This window comes from Homo sapiens, chromosome 15, assembly GCF_000001405.40.
Source record: "Homo sapiens chromosome 15, GRCh38.p14 Primary Assembly".
In the NCBI taxonomy this organism is placed as follows: domain Eukaryota; kingdom Metazoa; phylum Chordata; class Mammalia; order Primates; family Hominidae; genus Homo; species Homo sapiens.
In genome coordinates, this window is record NC_000015.10 from 93055575 (window position 1) to 93074729 (window position 19155).

The 19155-nt window shown below is 54.2% G+C and overlaps 1 protein-coding gene and 1 pseudogene across 6 annotated transcripts in view, besides 5 other annotated features; both read right to left on the reverse strand.

The window, feature by feature from the left end:
• Positions 1-19155, reverse strand: part of RGMA (repulsive guidance molecule BMP co-receptor a) — a 53941-nt gene that overhangs the window by 20304 nt on the left and 14482 nt on the right. For 2 of the 6 annotated variants that reach the window (NM_020211.3, NM_001166287.2), the window contains exon 2: positions 17342-17457. In NM_020211.3, coding sequence (NP_064596.2) covers positions 17342-17457 — 116 coding nt within the window. The other 4 variants (NM_001166283.2, NM_001166289.2, NM_001166288.2 and 1 more) reach the window with 4 other exon arrangements.
• Positions 6290-7087: an enhancer, noted in NCBI's record as "OCT4-NANOG-H3K27ac-H3K4me1 hESC enhancer chr15:93605093-93605890 (GRCh37/hg19 assembly coordinates)". NCBI's record gives its function as "activates a minimal SCP1, AML or CMV promoter by ChIP-STARR-seq in primed H9 embryonic stem cells {active_cell/tissue: H9 hESC(primed)}" and the evidence as "EXISTENCE:reporter gene assay evidence [ECO:0000049][PMID:30033119]".
• Positions 7884-8680: an enhancer, noted in NCBI's record as "H3K27ac-H3K4me1 hESC enhancer chr15:93606687-93607483 (GRCh37/hg19 assembly coordinates)". NCBI's record gives its function as "activates a minimal SCP1, AML or CMV promoter by ChIP-STARR-seq in naive H9 embryonic stem cells {active_cell/tissue: H9 hESC(naive)}" and the evidence as "EXISTENCE:reporter gene assay evidence [ECO:0000049][PMID:30033119]".
• Positions 9605-11109, reverse strand: YBX2P2 (YBX2 pseudogene 2; annotated as a pseudogene).
• Positions 9640-10603: an enhancer, noted in NCBI's record as "H3K27ac-H3K4me1 hESC enhancer chr15:93608443-93609406 (GRCh37/hg19 assembly coordinates)". NCBI's record gives its function as "activates a minimal SCP1, AML or CMV promoter by ChIP-STARR-seq in naive H9 embryonic stem cells {active_cell/tissue: H9 hESC(naive)}" and the evidence as "EXISTENCE:reporter gene assay evidence [ECO:0000049][PMID:30033119]".
• Positions 17931-18069: a silencer, noted in NCBI's record as "fragment chr15:93616734-93616872 (GRCh37/hg19 assembly coordinates)". NCBI's record gives its function as "represses an EF-1alpha promoter that drives an FKBP-Casp9 reporter gene in an ReSE screen in HepG2 liver carcinoma cells {active_cell/tissue: HepG2}" and the evidence as "EXISTENCE:reporter gene assay evidence [ECO:0000049][PMID:32094911]".
• Positions 18226-18983: an enhancer, noted in NCBI's record as "H3K4me1 hESC enhancer chr15:93617029-93617786 (GRCh37/hg19 assembly coordinates)". NCBI's record gives its function as "activates a minimal SCP1, AML or CMV promoter by ChIP-STARR-seq in primed H9 embryonic stem cells {active_cell/tissue: H9 hESC(primed)}" and the evidence as "EXISTENCE:reporter gene assay evidence [ECO:0000049][PMID:30033119]".

Sequence of the window (19155 nt, forward strand, 5' to 3'; positions counted from 1 at the left end):
GCAGCCACACATCATCACACAACCTCATTAGCACACCCGATTCCCTCCCCCACGGGTGGGCTCCAGCCTCTCCTGCAAGACCCATCTTATGACACTGTGCTCCCAGGAGCAGGAGGCCTGTGATCCACACACGCTTTCTCCCTGCCTTGCCTCCAGCAGACAAGTTCCAAGGGGTCACCTCCCAGGGTGAGCAGGGGCTCGACGGCAGGGTCAGACTGGTGCCCAGGTGTGGCTCTACCCTCCAAATGGGTAACTCCGCAGCCTCCTGAATTTTAAGTGGACTGGCTTCGTGATCGGGATCTGCTACCTCCACAGCCTTCAAAACTGTTCTCAGAGCAGCACCGCAGCTACAGAACTCTGGGGTATGTGGGCAGTTCATGACAGAAATCCCACCCAGGTACCCCGGAGAGGGGTCCCTCGCATGCTCCAGGGCCACAGAGTGGGATCTGGTAGCCCCAGATGAGGCTGTACTGGGTGGCCTGGGACCCAGCTCGGCAGGCCCCAGTAGCCCAGGGGTTCTGCAATTCTACCAAGTTCCCAGGAGAGGCCCATGCTGCTGGTCCCCGGCCCACTTTGAGTAGTGAGGCTTCAGAGTTGGTTCACTTTCTTTTCAACGGTCACAGAAGCCAAGCTAGTGCCTGATGGAGCCGGGCCAGCCCGGAGTGTGTGAAGGCGACATTTCCCCAGGATGGGGAGGGGGCTGGTGGCGAAGTTTCAGAGAAGGGGGCTGCAGGCAAAGGAGTGGCAAGAGGCAGACAGCGCCCCCAGGAGCAAACAGCAGGGATGCGGCCACCTTAGCCCTGATGCAGAGCGGCTAAGAAGCGCCTGAGACGAGGCCCTTTCACTTCTCCGTTCCACATGGGCACCTTCTCCTGCTCCTCTCCTCCTCCCAGACCCCACCCACTCTAAGAACAAGACCACCCCTCACCCAGCAGGCGTAGCTGTCTGCCTGCCACTCAAAGATGGTGGCAGAGGTCACACTCTGGAACCGTTGCACACAGGAACCAGGGTCCCCGTCTCCCCGACTCCTCTGTAGGCTTCAGGACCCTGGTGGTGAGGTGAGCTCCGTGCCCCACTATTCCCTCCAAGTTCTGCCAGCCCCAGCTCTGGGTGGGCTGAGGGCCAGCACAGGCCCTGAAGGGAGGTGTCTGGTTCAAAGTCCCACTCTGTCCCCTACCAGTAGTTTCGGGAACTTGACTCAGCCTGTTTCCTTAACTGTCAAGTAGAGACTGTGTCCACCTTAAAGGGTCGCTGAGGATATGAGGAGATGTACATGGCGTGCCTGGAGCCCCAGGGGCATCCAACAAACAGGGTCCCCCACAAAGGCCACAGTGGGGTACAATGCTTGCAGCCCCGGGAGGTCAGAGGTTAGAAGTCACAGACTTGGGGGACAGGAGGGGCATTGGAGGGAGCCTGCCCCTCCCTGGTGAAGCTCCAGCAGATGTGGCATCTCTCCTCTTCCCTCCTTCCCCGGGGTAGGCCCTGCTGGCACTCACTCTCAGGGCGCAGTGGATTCCACCTGGATCCAGGTCCCCCAACTCCTGGCAGCTCCTTCAATCCACTGACTGTCCAGGATCAGTCAATGGTCATGACTGTCGAGGGGGCCTCGCTTCCCATGGGCACCAGGTGGCTTCACCCCACTACCTCACTCACGCCCAGGGAGAGCGCTATAGACTGAACTTTGTCCCCCTAAATGTGATGGTTGAAGTTCTAATCCCTTATGGGATGACATTTGGGAGGTAATTAGGTTCAGATGAGGTCATGAGAGTGGAGCCCCCACGACAGGGTTGGTGCCCTTAAAATAAAGACATTTGGAGAATGCTAAGCGTTCTCTCTCTCTCCCTGCCCCCTCTCCCTCCTTCTGCCACGTGAGGATATAATGAGAAGTCCACAGTCTGAGAGCCGGGAGGAGGGCCCTCTCTCTAGAACTGGGCCATGCTGGTACCGGATCTAGGACTTCCCACCTCCAGAACGCTGAGAAAATAAACGTCTGTTGCTTAAGCCTCCTAGGCTGGGGTATTTTCTTATGGTGGCCAAGCTAAAGAGACAGTCATAGAGGGAAAACTGGCCGCCTCCCTCCTCTCCTTCCTGCACCCTCCCAAGTCACCTCTGCAGAAGCTGCCAGTATCACTGGAGACATTTGTCTGGCCAGAGACCAAAGGACCAGATTGACTTAACTTCACCTACCCCATTTTCCCATTTCCCGACAAGGACGTGTTTTCGCCCAGGGATTGCCCAGGCCTGGGATGATCCCCTTGGCTCTTCAGAGGGAGAGATTGGGGGGTGGCACATCGAGCTCTCGTATCTCTGCTGGGAGACCTCTGTACCCCACAGCCTGTGTGGTCCAGTCTCTATGTCCTTGTTCCTGACAGAGAGCACTCGGTTTCCTGCCTGTCACAACCCCTTCCTTCCCCAAGTTTTCACGGCATCCTAAAATGCCTCTTCTGCTGAGACATTTTCTGGGAGAAGATGCGGTGAGAAACTCTGGGTCCTGAAGCACAATTTCAACAAGTTTGCCTCTGTCCTTCCCTTGTTAATGAGTAAATGAAGAGACCTTAGATCCTATATGAGAAAGAAAAATAAGGATACTTGCAATTTCCCCACCCAGAGAGAACTGGAGAGAATTCAGGGTCGACAGGCAACAGGTGAGATGTTCTTATGGGGCAGTGCCCAGTGGGAGGGTCTCACCGCAGCGGTGGACCTTACTGTGGTGGGGCAGAGCATCGAGATCAACTCCAGCTCCGCCACTCCAGAGCTGTGTGACTGTGGGCAAATTCACTGACCTTTCTGAGCTACAGGCATGCACGGGCACCTCACCAGAGGGGTGTTAAAGGGACTGCAGGCACTGATGTGAGCAAAGCCGGGAGACTCGGGAAGGAAGCTCTGTGACAGCCAGTTTTGTGTTAACTTTGTTTTGTTTAATCACAATTTATGGGAGAGGCTGAGCTTAACTAACAGCTAATGTGTTATCGAGCATTTACTGTGGGCTAGACATTGTACATGTGTCTCCTTTAGCCCTTAATATAGACCCAGGACTGACTTGTTATCCTCATTCAACAGACAGGGAAACTGAGGCCTAGAGGCATTAAATAGCTCCCCACCCACCCCACCCTCAGGTACCCTGAAGGGGGCAAGGTGCAAACCACAGCCCTCAGCCCCCAAGCTGCATTCTCCTCTTCCTTCACACCTCTCGGATTTCCACACGCTCCATACCGGGCAACACGAAGGTGCTGCGGGGCCACAAAGACGAACGAAGACAAGAGTTCTTGTCTTGGGGGCCTCACTGGGGAAGAGGCTGTGCACCCAGGACTGCATAGGGAGGTTGGGTAGGTACGTGGGCTGGGCCTCACCCCAGAAAACAAAACATGATCGTGACAATAAAATAGCCTGCGCTCCCGGGGCCTGTGCAGGTGACACATTGCTTTCCTGTTGGATCCTCGCTACTGCCGATTAGAGGGCAAGAATTTTGATCGTCATTTTGCAGATGCAAACACGGAGGCTTCGGGCTCGAGCGGGCCTGGGTCACACAAGTGGAAGGGCTGGGGCTGAGATGGGCAGGCCTGGAGCTGTTTCTATGCTTTTCAAGATGCTTTTGCCACAAGTCCCTCCTCAGGACACCAGCTGAGACTGACCCAGCTCCCCCAAGGCCCAAAAGCATGATGCGGGTCTCCTATGCAGCCGCAGACCCATCTGGTCTCAGGGCAGTAACCAGAAGCTTAATCGATTCCGGGCCCTCCCTCCACAAAGGTCTGTGCGGAGCCCACCAGGAGCAGCGGCTGCTGCCAACTGACCCATCCCGACTTCTTGGGTTTCCCAGGTGTCCCAAACTCTCAGGGAACTTGGATCCAGCTCTGCAGATCTTCCTAAGAGTTTACGAGGCTTCCTCTCTTCCAAAGCTCAAGGGAATGACTTGGAAAAGGCCACTGACAGTGACCAGCTGGGACCAGAATAAAGGGTGACTGCTCCCCTCTGCCATCTCTCCATGTGGAAAGGAAGCTCTCTGGGAACGATGGGTCCCAGAAATGTGTGTGTGTGGCCTCATTTCCCATGCGAGGGGCTGGGCAGTCCCCACGGGCAGCGACTGGAGTGAGGGGCCCTGACCTCCACGGCCATCCAGTCACCTTGCCTCCACGGCACTAAATCACCAACTGCAGCCCCCCACCAGAGGTCAAGGACCTGAATGAAATCTGGCCCAGCATCAAAAGCAATAGCTGTGGTGTCACCTGCCAAAGAGATCTCAGAGAGGCCGATTTTTATGTGCTGTATCTTTATAAAAAGACCCCAATTCCAGGCAATAAACCTTAGACTTTTCTGATGCGAACGTCCATGGAAAGAAGGAAGGAAAGTTTGAGCTGAAAAACAGATCTTACAGCAACTCCTGCAAGCGGAAGAGGAAAGCTGCTTTTCAGAGCAAGCTGCGTTGAACACAGAGCCAGCTGCCCCACAGGGTGTGAGCTGAGCACACCTGCCCAGTACTGCAGTCCAGAAAGTTATACCTTCTAGCTCTGGAGCTGCCTCTTGATGGATCCAGGACAGCCAATACACACAGAACCAGGGGACTGAAAAACCTAAGAAGTTTCCTGAGCTTCCATTTCTACTCCAGCCACTGAGTGTGTCCTTGGGCAGGGGCCACCCTCCGGCCCCTTGGTAAGCCTTGCAACCTGGGGTTCGACCTCAGAGACACAGACACAGAGCTTTATGCCCCTTAGAAGCATATTATGGGGTATTATGTGCACTGCATGTCTTGTTTTGACCCAGGTCTCTTGAGGCCTTGAATTTTCCTGATTAGCTATAGTGGGGCAAAAAGGAGAATCCAGAAGTGTGCAAAGACAGTGCTCTGGCCCTGTCCAGATCCAACAACAGAAATCCCCTAAACTTGTCCCGGAGCCCCATGGGGTGAGGGACTCAGCTTAAGCGGTGATGCCCAGGCAATGCCTACAAGACAGAGTGGCTCCCAGACCCGATGGGGGCGGGGTGGGCCCTTGGTGCTCAGCTTGGGACCCCTGGCAACCATCTGACCCATTTGCTCCTGACTCGAGCAATCCAGGCCAGAGCTCATGGCTTCTCCGTGCAATCAAATTTATCAAAGAGCCCCAACAATCACTTTGTGACCAAAAACAATGGTCACTTTTCAAGGCACACCACGGAATTTTAGAACCTGGGAGCCTGGGGATGTCACAGGTCACCAGTTTATGCAGCAGGACATCTCCCTGCAGCACTCCTGCCGGGGCAGGGCTGGCCCCTCCTGCTCTGGACAGCTCCAGCTGTGGATGCACTGCGGCATCCCAGGACTTCCCCTGGCCCTTGTCTAGAGTCACATAGGAAAGGCTGAAGTAGGGCGGCTTTGTGATTGTCGAGGATGGCCCCTCAGCTTCCCTGCGCCACCTTCTTGGTCTCTCCAGCTGCTCCTCTCTTTGGCTGTCACTGGACTGTCAGTGTCACCCATCTGCCCTTGCACAGCTGATATTCCTCTAGGAGGTGGCCGCTGAGCGGCCTCTTCCCCACTTGCATGTCAGTCTTCTGAGGGTTGGGGACCCCCATCTTCGTCCTGGCGTCCATACTCCATACCCAAAGCCTATCAGGAGATTTACTTATTTTTTGACATAGAGTCACTCTGTCGCCCAGGCTGGTATGCAGTGGCGCGACCTTGGCTCACACAACCTCCACCTCCCAGGTTCAAGCAATTCTCCTGCCTCAGCCTCCTGAGTAGCTGGGATTACAGGCACCCGCCAGCATGCCCAGCTAATTTTTATTTCAGTAGAGATGGGGTTTCGATGTTGCCCAGGCTCGGCCACGAACTCCTGAGCTCAGGTGATCCACCTGCCTCGGCCTCCCAAAGTGCTGGGATTACCGGCATGAGCCACCACGCCTGGCCCCTATCAGAGATGTGATGCTGTTTTAAACCTCCCACCCAGGACCCTGTGCCCGGGAGATGCACTTGCCCCACAACTCACATAAATGTATGTAGGTGACATTTCACTCTTTTGGGGAGGGGGGCTCCAGACTGCCTTCCTCATGGACTGAGATAAGGTAGAGAGAAAGAAAACTCACAGCCACACAGCACGTCTGACTTAGTTCTTTTCCTTTTAATAGCAACCTAGCACCTCTGAGAATCAGAAAGATAGGGGAGGGCGCTTGGAGCACCAGCTGCACCAACGCTGGCAGGATGAAAATATTTATGCACCAATGAAGCACTAGCTGCTTTCAGAGACCTCCTTTGAACTGTTAATCAAGCCCAATCTTTCAGAATAATAGCCTGATTATTACCGCCCTGTTTGCATAACAACGAAGCCCAATAAGACTTATTTTGCAGTGCACGAGGGGGTGTGAAGGATCGACCCTGAGAAAGGAGTCCTAGGAATGCAGTGAGCTGCTGCAGAGCCTGAACCCAGGAATAAAGACAATGCAATTTGCCACCAAGAAAAGCTCAACAGACCAATAAATTACCCGCGTGCAAAGGGATTAGATCAGGTTTCAGTTACTGTGTAGGAGGGGTGGGGTGAGCCGGAGAGGGAAAAGACCTGCCCTCTCTTAAAGGGGTAAGGCTCATTTTGAGTGCAAGCCCCAGGGTCAAGCTGTTTTTGTCCAACTCTGTGGCCTGCGTGGGAACTGCCTGAGTTCAATTACTTGCTCCAAGTTCTGGACCCTTCTATGTGCCGGGCACTGTGATTAATGCTGTTTCTGGAACAAACCCCAGTTAATCTCTGCGCTCAGGTATGGTCAATCACATAAACTTCTAGAATACAAAGCAAACATGTTTCATCTCAACACTTAACAGCAACAAAGGTTTAAGAATGGAAGTACGAGAAGGTATCAGGGAAGTAGCATTTCAATGAGGTCCTGAATTTGACGGGTGATGAAGGGCAAAGATCTGACGACAGGGACCTCCAGAACAACTGAGCTTGGCAGGAGGCGACATGCTGGCTGGTCAGAGTGTAGCCAGGAGTTTGGGGCCAGACACGGAAACCTAGAGTGCCACCTGTGCCCATTAGGAAGCAAATGTCGCTCAGCTTCAAACCACTTTGCTCTCTGGTGCAGGGATTCTGCAAACCCCATCTCTTTCGTCACTGGGTTCCCTGTTAAATTTCCCCACAAGGGGACACTAGATGGAGAAGGGAAGGTGGGAGGCAGGAGACAGGTTTACCTGCCGTCCCCAAGGCTGCTTCTCCCACCACTTACCAGCAGCAGCGGCCCTTCTTCCCCATCAGAGTCCCGGGCCCTCCTCCAAACCTGCCTTCCTTCTGTCCCTCTGGCTGCAGGGGTGGAAGCTGCTTCTGCCACTCTGTGTCCCAGCGGTCCCTCTTTGCCCTTTCAGTCTTCCCATGCCCATAACAATGCCCTACACGAAGTCCCCTCTGCGGAAACATCCCGGGTGGGTTTTGCTTTTCTGATTGGACCCTGGCACACCAGCCTAAGGATTTCTGCTTTTTTCCAATAGATGGCAGGGAGCCCCTGAAGCATTTTCAGTGAGCACCCAGGGCGTGATCAGAACACTATTTTAGGAAGCAGTGTAACTGAAGAGGCGATGGCTTCAATTAGGATGGAGGCAGGCGGAGGGAAGGGAGGGAGAGCAGCTTAAAAAAGAAATCACTGCCAGCGCCTGTGGAGACACTAGCCTTGAAGCCTCAGACCTCCCATGTCCCTTTCCTCACTGTCCACCTAGCCTGAGCGGCAGATGCTGAGATGCCCTCCTTAGCCACATGGTATGTCCCCCGTTCAAAGGAGGTGGAGGAGGGAGCACTGAGCCAGGGGGCTGGCCGGCTCACACCCAGTGAGACTCACGCTGCCACCCCTCCCCACCCTCTCCTGTCCTTTGTGCCTCAGTGCTGGATCTCACAGGGGACAGGAACAGACGCACCACCCATATGTGGCAAACTCTGGCCAGAGCAGTATTCGGGAGTCTCTGAGTTGAGATGCCTGAGGCTGCCTGTTTGTGTCACTCCTGCAGGAATTTCACTCTGTCATCCTGGTGTAAACATCCAGGTGTTTGGCATCAGATACCGAAAGGAACACACCCAGGTGAGCGCGGGATTTTTCACCAGGTGCAGCAGACCCTACCTTTAACCTACAAGCAGCCAGAATGTGTCACCTTTTCTAAAATGCATTCCTCCCTGAGTCTAGCCCAAGAATGTTCCAAGGAACCTGTGACTCCAATGTGGCTCCCACCCTTTGAATCCACTGGAAATTTTCTAGGAGGTTTTCTCTAGAAACCAGCCACAGGAGAAAGAGGGAGCTTCTCAGGGAACCTCAGTTGACTGTGGAGGTGGGGGTCAGTTGGGGTGCTGGGGTTGTGGAGGGGTAACTCACAGCCACGTGAGCATGGGCAAAAGTGGCCGAATGCCACTCACGGAGCTCAGGCAGGAGGTACTGCCCGTGTCACAGCCAGCCAGGGCTGCTTTGCCCCAGCCTCACTCATACCAAGTGGCTACACGAAACCACACCGTGTGCCAAGGGAAAGGGCACACCTCAGCTTTCCACACTACCCTCCCATCCCCCAGTTCCTCCTGGGGCCATGTGGAGGCAGACCACGGGCAAGTAGGATGGTGTGAGAGTGTGGTGTTCACCCTCTGGCCAAGGCCACAAGCAGCTTCAGTGGGGGGGCTGATAGCTTCTCTAGGCAAGAGGAGCCCTAGGCTGGCAAGGGCTGGACACAGGATTCCACGCCGGCACCATCCTGTCTCAGGGCAGAGTTAGATAAGCTACTCCGAGTTCCACAAGATAGGTGATTATAGGCAGACATAACTTTCCAGATGTAAACGATGCTTGCAGGTGAGCACTTTGGTCCTCCAGCTTTGAGGCATACCTCCTTCTCCTGAGTCTAGGGCTGGCGCTGCCTCTAGTGACCCTGGGCTCCTCCGCCTAGCCTGCGGGTCTAAATGCCTTTGAAGTGGCTTTTCTCCCTCAATGCTGCCGGCAGGCAGGCCTTCCTCCTTCACCTTCTGCGTGTGGGGGAAGAACAAATGCAAGCCAGCCAGGCTCCTGCCCAGCCTGCGCACACGCGTGTGTGGGTCTGTGTTCATGTGGCATTTCTTAGCACAGGGAGCAACTGGGCTTCCTTCTGCGGGGACCTAGGTGCGGAGGCATCACTGTAATCGGGTATTCTGCCGGCTGGAGTGAAATGGTGCATGAAATGAATCCATAAGCAAAACCCAACAGACATAAATCTGACTTGGGAACATGTGCACAATGACAGCTTTGCCAGCTTGTCTTCCTGTGGCTGGGTGGCATCGTCCTCTTTAGAATGCTATGCCATGGTGAGCAAGAGGCAGAGGGCCTTTGGGAGGAGGCAAAAATGCTAGATCCTTGGAAAATGCATATCCTCATCATATCCCCAAAGTCTATTTCTTGTTCCGCATCTCAAGCCTTCTATACCACACAGTACAGAGTCCAATATACCACATGGTAATTTTTTTTTTTTTTTTAGATGGAGTCTTGCTCTGTTGCCCAGACTGGAGTGCAGCAGTGGGATCTCGGCTCACTGCAACCTCCGCATCCCAGGTTCAAGCAATTCTTCTGCCTCAGCCTCCTGAGTAGCTGGGATTACAGGCACATGCCACAATGCCCAGCTAATTTTTTTGTATTTTTTTTCCAAGACCACAGGAAAGCCTGTTTTTGTTTTCACTGGAGGTTCAGGTGGCACATGACAGATGATAAAATGGCTTCAGAGGTTGGGGGCCGGGAGAAAACAAAAATAAACTTGGGGGGCAAAGAAAAACAACCAGGAGGAGGTTGAGAGCTGGCTGGTTCCTTCTCAGCCTGAGTTAGGGGAGGGGGTTGGTGTCTCTGAACAGTAAGCTCCCTTCCTTCAACCCTTGATAAGGGAAGAAAAAAAAAAAAAAGCAAAAGGCTGTTGCTTTGGCCCTCCTGAGTCTCAAAGAAAAGATGAAAAGCTGGTATTTTGATGCCATGAATTATGGGAAACGGGGAACAGGGTACTGGGTAGGGTACAGGTCAGTTGGAAAAACTGGCAGATAGCAGATGGCAGCTCTGGGTGTCCTTTGAGTTGGAATCACTCCAGGATGGTGGTGGCGGGGTCCCCACTGTTGATAGGGGCTGAGGTCTCAGGGGCTGCGGGCTGCCGGGGGCCGGGGCCTGCTGCCCTCTCTGCTGGAAGTAGGGGTGGTTTCGTGGGCCCTGGGGCTCAGGCCGGGGACCATCAGCGGGACCGTGGCTGGGCTTGGTCTCACCGTCCCCACCTTCCGTGGTAGGCTGGCTGGGGTGGTCTGGGCCAGAATTGAGGTAGGGGAACCCGCTCACCTCCCTGCTGTTGCTGCCCCTCCAATGGGGCTCTTTGGGCTCTACCCCGTCAGTGCTCTCTGTAGGCTGTTGCTGGCTGGGGGGCCGAGGGACTCGCACAAACCACCGTCGGTAGAAGAAGGGTGGGGGGCGCCGTCGTCTGGGCCGCTGCGCGGAGTCTTTGGCCCGTTCCCCTTCTCTGCCAGGTTCTGTCCCCGCTGAAGGGATCTCTGCCACCATGGGTGGTGGGGCAACTGAGGGAGGCCGGGGGATGAATCGGCGAAACTTACGTAGGTTGGGGGCATAACAGCTGCCCTTCACGGGCACCTCCCCGGGCCCAGTTACATTAGCGGCTTCTGCACCCTTCTCTCCTTCCACGACATCAAATTCCACAGTCTCCTCATCTCCAACGCTGCGCAGAAACTTCCTGGGCTTCTTTTAATAGCTGTCTGGTGAACAAAGACATCTTCCTTGGCGTCATTCCTGTGGATGAATCCGTAACCATTCCGGACGTTGAACCATTTGACAGTGCCCAGGACTCGGAGTGCCAGCAGCACCAGCTTGTTCGCGTGACTCCAGGTGGGGGAAACGGGGGGCGGGGGTTTCCAAGGCCGCCGTCGTTGCCAGGGCTGCCGCCGGGTTGCCACGGGTGCGGGGGCCAGGCACCAAGGGGGTCCCATCCCAGCAGCGGGGCCCGAGGCGACTCCGCCCCTGCCACCGCCCTCCCCGCCACCTGCTTTCTGGGGCTTCCCTGCGGGCACTGGTACCACCACCGCTACCACCCCGGGCATCGTCGCCGTGGGGACTGCCGTCACCACCGCCGCCGCCTCCACCTCGCTCATCCTGCCGGGTCCAGTACCGGCCCCCGCCGCCGCCCGGTTTTTTATATTTTTGGTAGAGACAGGTTGGCCAGGCTGGTCTTAAACTCCTGACCTCAAGTGATCCACCCGCCTCGGCCTCCCAAAGTGCTGGGATTACAGGTGTGAGCCACCGAGCCTGGCACCACATGGCATATTTAATGACATATTTATCCAAAATCTGTGCATGGGCTCAGGGCAGGAGTCTGGGTTCTACTTCTGGCTCTGCCATGCAACTGGCTATGTGTGCAATGTCGGGAAAACCTCTCTGACCCTGTGTTTCCTCATCAGTGAAATGGGAATGATGATCCTCACGGGAATGGCCTTAAGGCATTTGGCAGAATGCCTGCTACACTGTGGCCACTCAACCAAAAGAGCTTTAAAAATTATTACTCTCCTTCAAATGATCCTACTTTGGAGAGAAGGATATAAAGGTATTATATCTTGAAAGATGTTTGTGAAATGTTCATTTAGTGATGGTTGTCTGTGGGAGGTTGGATTTTGGGTTATTTTTATTTTATTACTTATCCCTTTCAGCTTTCAGAGTTAAAAATGAGTACTGTTTTTATAACCAGAAAAAATTATTTTGGAAAAAAACTTGAGTATCTGGAAAAAAGAAAAAAAAATCCTGTGGTCTTTGCCCATTGAGCAAAACCCAAAACAAACAGAAACACACACAAAAACCCAAGGGCCCTGTAGTTCCCAGGACTATGTGGGTGTGCTTGGGGTGGGTGGAGAAAAGAAGGGCATATAGAAACAGAAATGAGGTTCCTGCTTTTATAAACAGAACTGGTGCTTTACAAGAGGACAAAAACGTAAGGCCCATGAGGCACCAAGCCCAGCAGGTGGCTCAGTTGTCAGCAACCAAGGTAACAGGTGTCCCCGGCGTCGGGGGGGTCTGCACTGGACCCCTGTAGACGGCACTGAGCTTGGAGTGGTGAAACTGGGCAGTGTCCAGAGCAATGCCTTAGAGTGGCCAGGTGGGGTGTGGTGGGGTGGTATATGGGGAGGCAAGCAGGGAGCAAAGGGGTGACCCAGGGCTTGGGGATGTGCTGGAAGCCTTGGAAATGAGCTTGGGAAAAGTCGGGGGCCGGGAGTTAGAGACCCTCCCTTCTGATGCTCCAAAGCAGGCCATGAGCAGCCATGAGCTCCTGGGCAGGAGTTTCAGAGTGATTCATTTGGCACCATGGCGAGGATCGGGGGAGGCAGGCAGGTCCTAAGCCTGTCTGCTGTTGCAATGGCAGCAAGGTGACAGAGGGAACAGGCAGGACCAGGAGGAGGAAGGACCCATGGCCCCAGGTGATTAGACCACATGGAGGGGCCCACTTCACACCCAGGACTTCACAGATCTGGACAGGGGAGTCCCTAACAGATACAGGCTAGGCATGAGTCCAGGGGACAGGAGAGGATAAAACTAGGGTTTTAATCTAACTGTCCTGGTGTGCCAGGGACTGAGGATAGTTCTCAGGACATATAGATTCCAGTTTTAAAACTAGGAAAGTCCTGGGCAAACTGGGATAAGTTGGCTACCTTCAAAGAAATACTGTCTTCAATTTAAGGCTGGTTGAATTTTTGCCAAGCAGCAAAACAGCATGGCCCCTAACTGCTACTCAACCAAAACCTAAAGTTGGGGTTCTCTGCCCAGTTCTAGGCCTCGCACATTTCACCAAAGACAAGATCTCTAGCAGGAACGACACTCTCCCCAACATGTAAACTGGTCCCCACCTTCAGCCTCTTATCTTCCAAGGCCTCCTCTTCTCCATCTCATAGAGTGGCCTTATCTGTGCCCACAGATCACCTCTCCCCAGCTCCCATCCTCTGAGCGCTGGAGTGACTACTAGCCATTTCTCCAACCTTGCAAAGACCTTTCCCTTCCTCAGATCACAAGACTAGAGATCCTTTCCCTTTCTCCTCAATACACCCTCAGGGCCTAGTGGCTGGCCATCTGTAGAGTTTTATGTGCGTGCTCTCCCTGGGAGCCAATGCGCTGCTCTGCAGGTGCCGTCACACACTGGTTGCTAGCTGGCTGGTTCTTGCCACTGAACATCAACTCCGAATTCACCTTTTAAAGCCTAACCCCAAAGTGATGGTATGAGAAGTAGGAGGGATCTGGGAAGTGATTAGGTCATCAGGGTGGAGGTTTCAAGAATGGGATTAGTGCTCTTATAAAAGGGACCCCACAGAGTGCCCTCACTTCTGCCCTGTGAGGACAGAGCTGTAAGGCACCATCTACAAACCAGACATCAAATCTGCCAGCACCTATCACTCTTGGACTTTTCAGCCTTCAGAACTGTGAGCAATAAATGTCTGTCATGTATAAGCCACCCACTTATGGTATTTTGTTACAGCAGCCCAAACAAACTAAGACACTCTCCCCTTGGGACACAAAGTCCTACTGGGAGAGCAATAGTGTGGTAAGCAGGCTGATCTGCTGATGCATTTTTTTTTTGTTTGTTTTTTGAGACGGAGTTTCATTCTGTCACCCAGGCTGGAGTACAGTGGTGCGATCTCAGCTCACTGCAACCTCCACCTCCCGGGTTCGGGCGATTCTCCTGCCTCAGCCTCCCGAGTAGCTGGGATTATAGGCTCATGCCACCACGCCCAGCTAATTTTTGTATTTTCAGTAGAAACGGGGTTTCGCTATGTTGGTCAGGCTGGTCTCGAACTCCTGGCCTCAAGCAATCCACCCACCTCGGCCTCTCAAAGTGCTGGGGTTACGGGCGTGAGCCACCGCGCCTGGCCGATGCATTTTTGAATAGCAGCTCTGATAGAAACAGTCTCATTTCTATAGCGACACAGATGTACCTGGACACTGCAGAGGGCCTTGGTCTCCCGAAACCTTAGTTACCCACTGAGGACTAACATTTCTAAAACAGCTGCAGTTCAAAGTATAAGGGGAAGAAAGAAGGAACAAAGAAAGTCTGGAGTGCAATAGTTCTTAGAACAGCGATCCTCAAACTTGAGCATGCATCAGAGCTCTCTGGAGGGCCTGCTCTAGAACACAGACTGCAGGGCCCCAGCTCCAGAGTAACTGCTTCTATAGGTCTGTGGTGGGCCTAGAACTTGCATTTCTAACCAGTTCCCAAGGAAGGCTAATGCTGCTGGTCCAGGGACCACACTTGGAGAACCACTGTGCTGAAGTACAGGACCCACACATAGTGAACAGGAAGCCTGGTGACATGTCCGAAACATATGCCTGGATGGATTTCTCTTGGAACTCTTTTCGAAAAAGTCACAATGGCTTCAAAGTTTAAAAAGCCATCTATTAGCTGTGATTTGAGTAGGATGCCATTTGTGGAATGCTCTTTTAAGAGTCCTTTCTGGCCTCCCTTCCTAGGTAGACGTGGACACTGTCTGCCTGTGCTGTCCCCAAAGAATCATCTAAACAGACACCCTTCCAGACCGCTTGACAGTGCAGGGGCCCTTTCTCATCACCAGGCTGTGGTCTGCCTGAGGGGCTTGGTTAGAAGGCTCCAAAAGTTGTCACTGAGTCAGGAACCCAGTAGGTTGGCCATCCACATGGAGTAAGTAAATGCAAACACTCGAAACACACAAACGCTCTCAGTGTAGCTGAGGTGAAGGCATCTTTCTCCACATAACTATGTTCGATTTAATTTGCACTCCTATAGGCTTACTCCTGGCAGCCATTCAAGCTGACTAGCACAGAACAAACCGAGGCTTTCACGCAGTTGCTCGGCCAGTTTCCACCTGTCTTCAACGGGAGAGGCCAAGGCACACAGGGGCCCCCAGTGTGTCTGGGTGCCTTCCACTTGCTGGGGCTTTATTTCTCGATCTCCCGCCTTGCTCTCCATCAGACCTGCAAGTTTTCTAACTTCATTCCTAAGCGGCCCCTCTCCTGGTCAATGTGTCAAAGAATGGGACAGTCTCTCTCTGTTGTGGAAATTTCCCATTTCATCCCTTACTTAAGAAACTGTCTTTTGACCCACATTTCTAGAGCACACAAGTTTTGGAGCCCCCAGTATATTTAGTTTTGGGGTACTGGAAGCTCAGTTTTCAGTCAGGTGGGCAATTTTGACTAAACGCAGCTGTCAAGCCCTCAAATGAGAAGAAACATTAGCCAGCTGGCGTGACAGGAGAGCAGCTATCAGTTCCATCGGCCAGGTTTTAGTTACCGGCCTTGACGCCAAAAAGAAATGGGTTTCTTGGAAACAAAAGTGATGGAATTTGGGCTGTGACTTATATAACCTACCAGTGTTCCTCAGCCTATGGCGGGATGCTTTAAAATAAAAGTTTTTAGGATGGAGAAATAAATCGAGAAACAACAAAACCACCACCACTCAGGCCATGCAGCCTCCTACCTCTGGAAACTTCTGCCAGGCCTTCCTTTCCTCTCCAGCCCCAAAAGGTAACAAGTGCTGCAGCTTTAAGAGCGGGAAGGTGTTGTTTTAAGGGCCTCTAAGCCCCTCTTCTCAATTTCAGCTTTGAGCTGAGATCACATCCCCCACGGCAGCCAAGGGACAAAAGCCATTTATCAACCCATCTGATAAAACTTCCAATGGGCTTGATCTTTATCTAGACCAAACCAAGAACACAAATTGCAAACTCCTGCTTTTCCAAAACGTTGACTTCTTCTTAAATAGGGTGATTTTTATTTTAATTTTGAATTCTTGGGAGGAAACCAAATTGGGCTGTTCAACCAGACTCTTAAGTAGGTGGAGAAACTGCCTTTTAAATACACTGGGGGTGAGGAGAGGGCACCCTGCTGTTTGATCCCCTGCGGAGGTTTTGACATTCCAAGCTGAGTACTTTTTGGGGATACCAAGATCCCTCACCCGACATCTTGTCCTTGGCCAGGCCTCCCTATGGAACCTAGGTCTGGAGAGCAGGTTGCGGCTCTCTGCGACCCTTCTGGGGTGCGCAGTGGTTGAGTAAGCCGGACGCACAAGTCTGAGCTGGCGCTGGGGGCCAGGAGCAGGGCTGGGACTAGGGGGTAAACTGATCCCTCGCTCCCTACTGTTCACTGTCTGCGTGGTCCGCCCATTGGGAGCCCCAACTCACAGCCAGGCCGAGCCAGACCTGCCCAGTTTTGCCAGTTCCTTGAAACCCAGTTGGCGGAAGAGCAAATCAAAATAACCCAATCCGAGTCTAAACTCAAGTCCTTTCTTGCAAAGCTCAGTAGTGCGCGGGGGCTGCGGCTCTACGCCTGGCTGTGGTGCGAAACAAGATGAAATTTTTTCAAAAAGACACCTCTGAACCCCGCAAACACAATGGAAACGGCTGGGAGATCCCGCCTTGCGCCGGGGGGGCCATTTGGCCCGTGACATTGTGTTTATTTGTATTTTTAGCAAGAAAAAAAATGGGTATAAAGGGCTTAACTGGCGTTTTCTGGCTGTGAGCAGCATATGGCAAAAATGAAATAAAGTTTTATGAAACATCATAAAGAAAACAGGCCGGGGATTTAAGTTGCATGCCTCCCCCCTCCCCCCGAAAGGAAAAAAAGTAAAGAAACTGGAGCGTTTGGGAAGGAACAAATGCTTCTCTGTGGAGTTGGTCTCCCTTCCCCCAACAAAAACAAGAGGTCCGGGCTCGGAGGAATTTGAAAGCAGCGATCTGCCAAAAACATTGTGAAAAACTATGGGGGATTCATTGGAAACAGATGGGCTTTTTCAGCTTTAATTCTGAAATTCTCTCCTTTTCTGACACAATAAAAACAAACAGGGGGCGACGCAGAAAGTTATCAAACAGGAACACCAGCTCATTTGAGCCGAGTCCGTGGGTGTCCCCGCGTGGCCAAATGGGTGGAAACGAGACGAGGTCTCCGGGGAGGGGGCTGTCGGGAACTCGGCTGGGACCTCAGGGGCGACCCTGGCTCCACCCCTGGGCACCCGGCAGGTTTGCAAACTGCTGGGCGAGGAGCTGAAGAAAGTGTCCCCAGCACCGAGGGCGTGCCTCCCCTTCTCCCCCTCTTCCCGAGCCCCTAGGAGGCACGTTCCCAGCCACCCCCTTTCTCGGAAAAAGGGAAGGGAGTGAGGCACCCCGGCCCCTGCGCCCTCCCCACACGGCTCCATCTCACGGCAACTCGGGCAGGGTGCCCCTCTCCGGGTCCCCAAGGGCAGGCATCGCACCCACGACGGGGTGCGGGAGAAACAAAAGACCCGTGGAAATAGGAGGCGGGGTCCGGAGGAGGTCCGGAGAACTTGAGCCCGGACTCACTCGCGCACATCTGGCCCAGCATTGAGGGGCGGCCCAGGGACCCGGCCCCGCGCGCCCGGCCGGCAGTGCCTTACCTGCGGGGAAGCTGCAGAGAAGGAAGGCGAGGGTCGGCCAGAATCCCAGGGCTGAACGTCCTGCCCCTCTCCCCATACCCATCCATCCAGCTCGGCCTGTTACCACTAGCCTCTCCCTGGAAGAAGAGTTCAGAAAAAAAGAAGAAAATAAATCACGCTGCGAAGAAAGGGCAGCCTCGCTCCGCCGGCGGGAGCAGCGAGCCGGGAGGCTCCGTCCACCTCGGCCGCGGGCGCCCGGCGCGCTCCCCTTCCCGCGCCGCCCCCCGCGCGCCCCTCCCTCGCCATCCATCACTCGGTTCTCCGCCAATGTCGACGCGGCCCCGCGCCCCAGCCGCCTGCGCACCGCCCCCTCGCGCTCGGGTTTCAGCGAGGCCGGCGAGGTAGCCGGAGGCGGCCGGGCGGGGACCCAGGCTGCCCGGCCGCAGCGCTCGCCGTGAGGACCTCGGAAAACCACGGCCCTAGATCAGAGGGCGCGCCACGCTCCCCGACCCTCGCGCCATCTCCAGCCCGCGGCTGTCCTTGCAAACCAGGCCCAGCACCCTTGGGAGGCCGCAGGGCATGAGGCGGGGCAGGACGCCCCCTTAATCCCCTCCACGAATATCCAATCCAAGTAGAAAAACTGTCCTTGGAGGCAAATCCCAGCCCTACTTTCCAACCAGACTGCCGACCCCAAGCTTCCACCGACGCCCCCTGGCTCATCAGTCGCACTCAGACGCGACACCGGTGCAGGAGGCTGAAAAACCCACTTCCGAGTTGTCTAGGTCTGGGCAGGATGGCTCTCTGCATCTCAGCTACTAACGCACCTCGAGGTTCCCGCCCGTCGTGGCCCCAGGCCACCCATCCTGACTGGGTTTGGCCTGCCTCCAGCACCCCCTTCAAGCACCTCGCTGCTTCCTGAAGACTTGCCCCGGCTGCGCCCCCGTGCTGAGGGCCTGCGGGCCTAACCTTGCCACCTTGGCACAGCTGCCACTCCAGAGAGATGGCTATGCCGGTCCGCGTGGCGCGCAGGGCCGGATGGTTTGGCGCTCTCTGCGAGGCCCGCAAGGCTGCACTTGGGAGGGCTTCAGTATGGTGACCTTTCCTAACTCTGTCGCTTATTTTTCTGGGAAAGAAACATCTCCTTCCCAAGGTTCCCTGGGCCCTGCAGTTCTGCTGCCGTTGTGATATTTAAGGGACTGGTAACTTCCCCTGAGAGACATCTTTTGGATGAAACACAAATAGTCCTGAGCAAGTGTTCTTAGTCAAACCAACTCCTCCCGCCACCCTCCTCACCTCACTCCCAAGCCTGCCCATCTGGTTCTTTGGGGAAAAACACCTCTGGGTTTTTATCCAATTTGGAGGTTTCTCTTAAGCACTATCACAGTCCTTACCTGCTGCAAAGGCCACACAGGCTTGTGCAAGGCTGCAGGGCTGCAGCTGCATTTGGGGTTCCGGCTGCCAGGTCGGGAGTGTGGAGAGGAGCAAGTTTGAAGGGAGGGGAGAAGGCCCTATGGCTGTGAAGACACAACCCCAGCAGCAAGACTTATGAATCTGGCTTCCACAAAACAGGTACACAAGGGGACCATACCTCAGCCAGCTGTGCAACAGGGCAACACGAAGCTGCTCTTCCCTTAGGTGGAAATGCCAGACACAACTCTTCTTTACGAGGGGGTGTCACTGTGTTTCCCTGAAATATTGAGGTCTCAGATCGACAAGCTCTAAATATTTTTCCCCCAAACCAGGGTTCATTTCAGGACGGGTCTGCAAAATGCTACGGTTTTCCCAGTGAAAGCCCACCATCGAAAATGCTCTTCCTTTCAAGCTTGGCCAGTCCT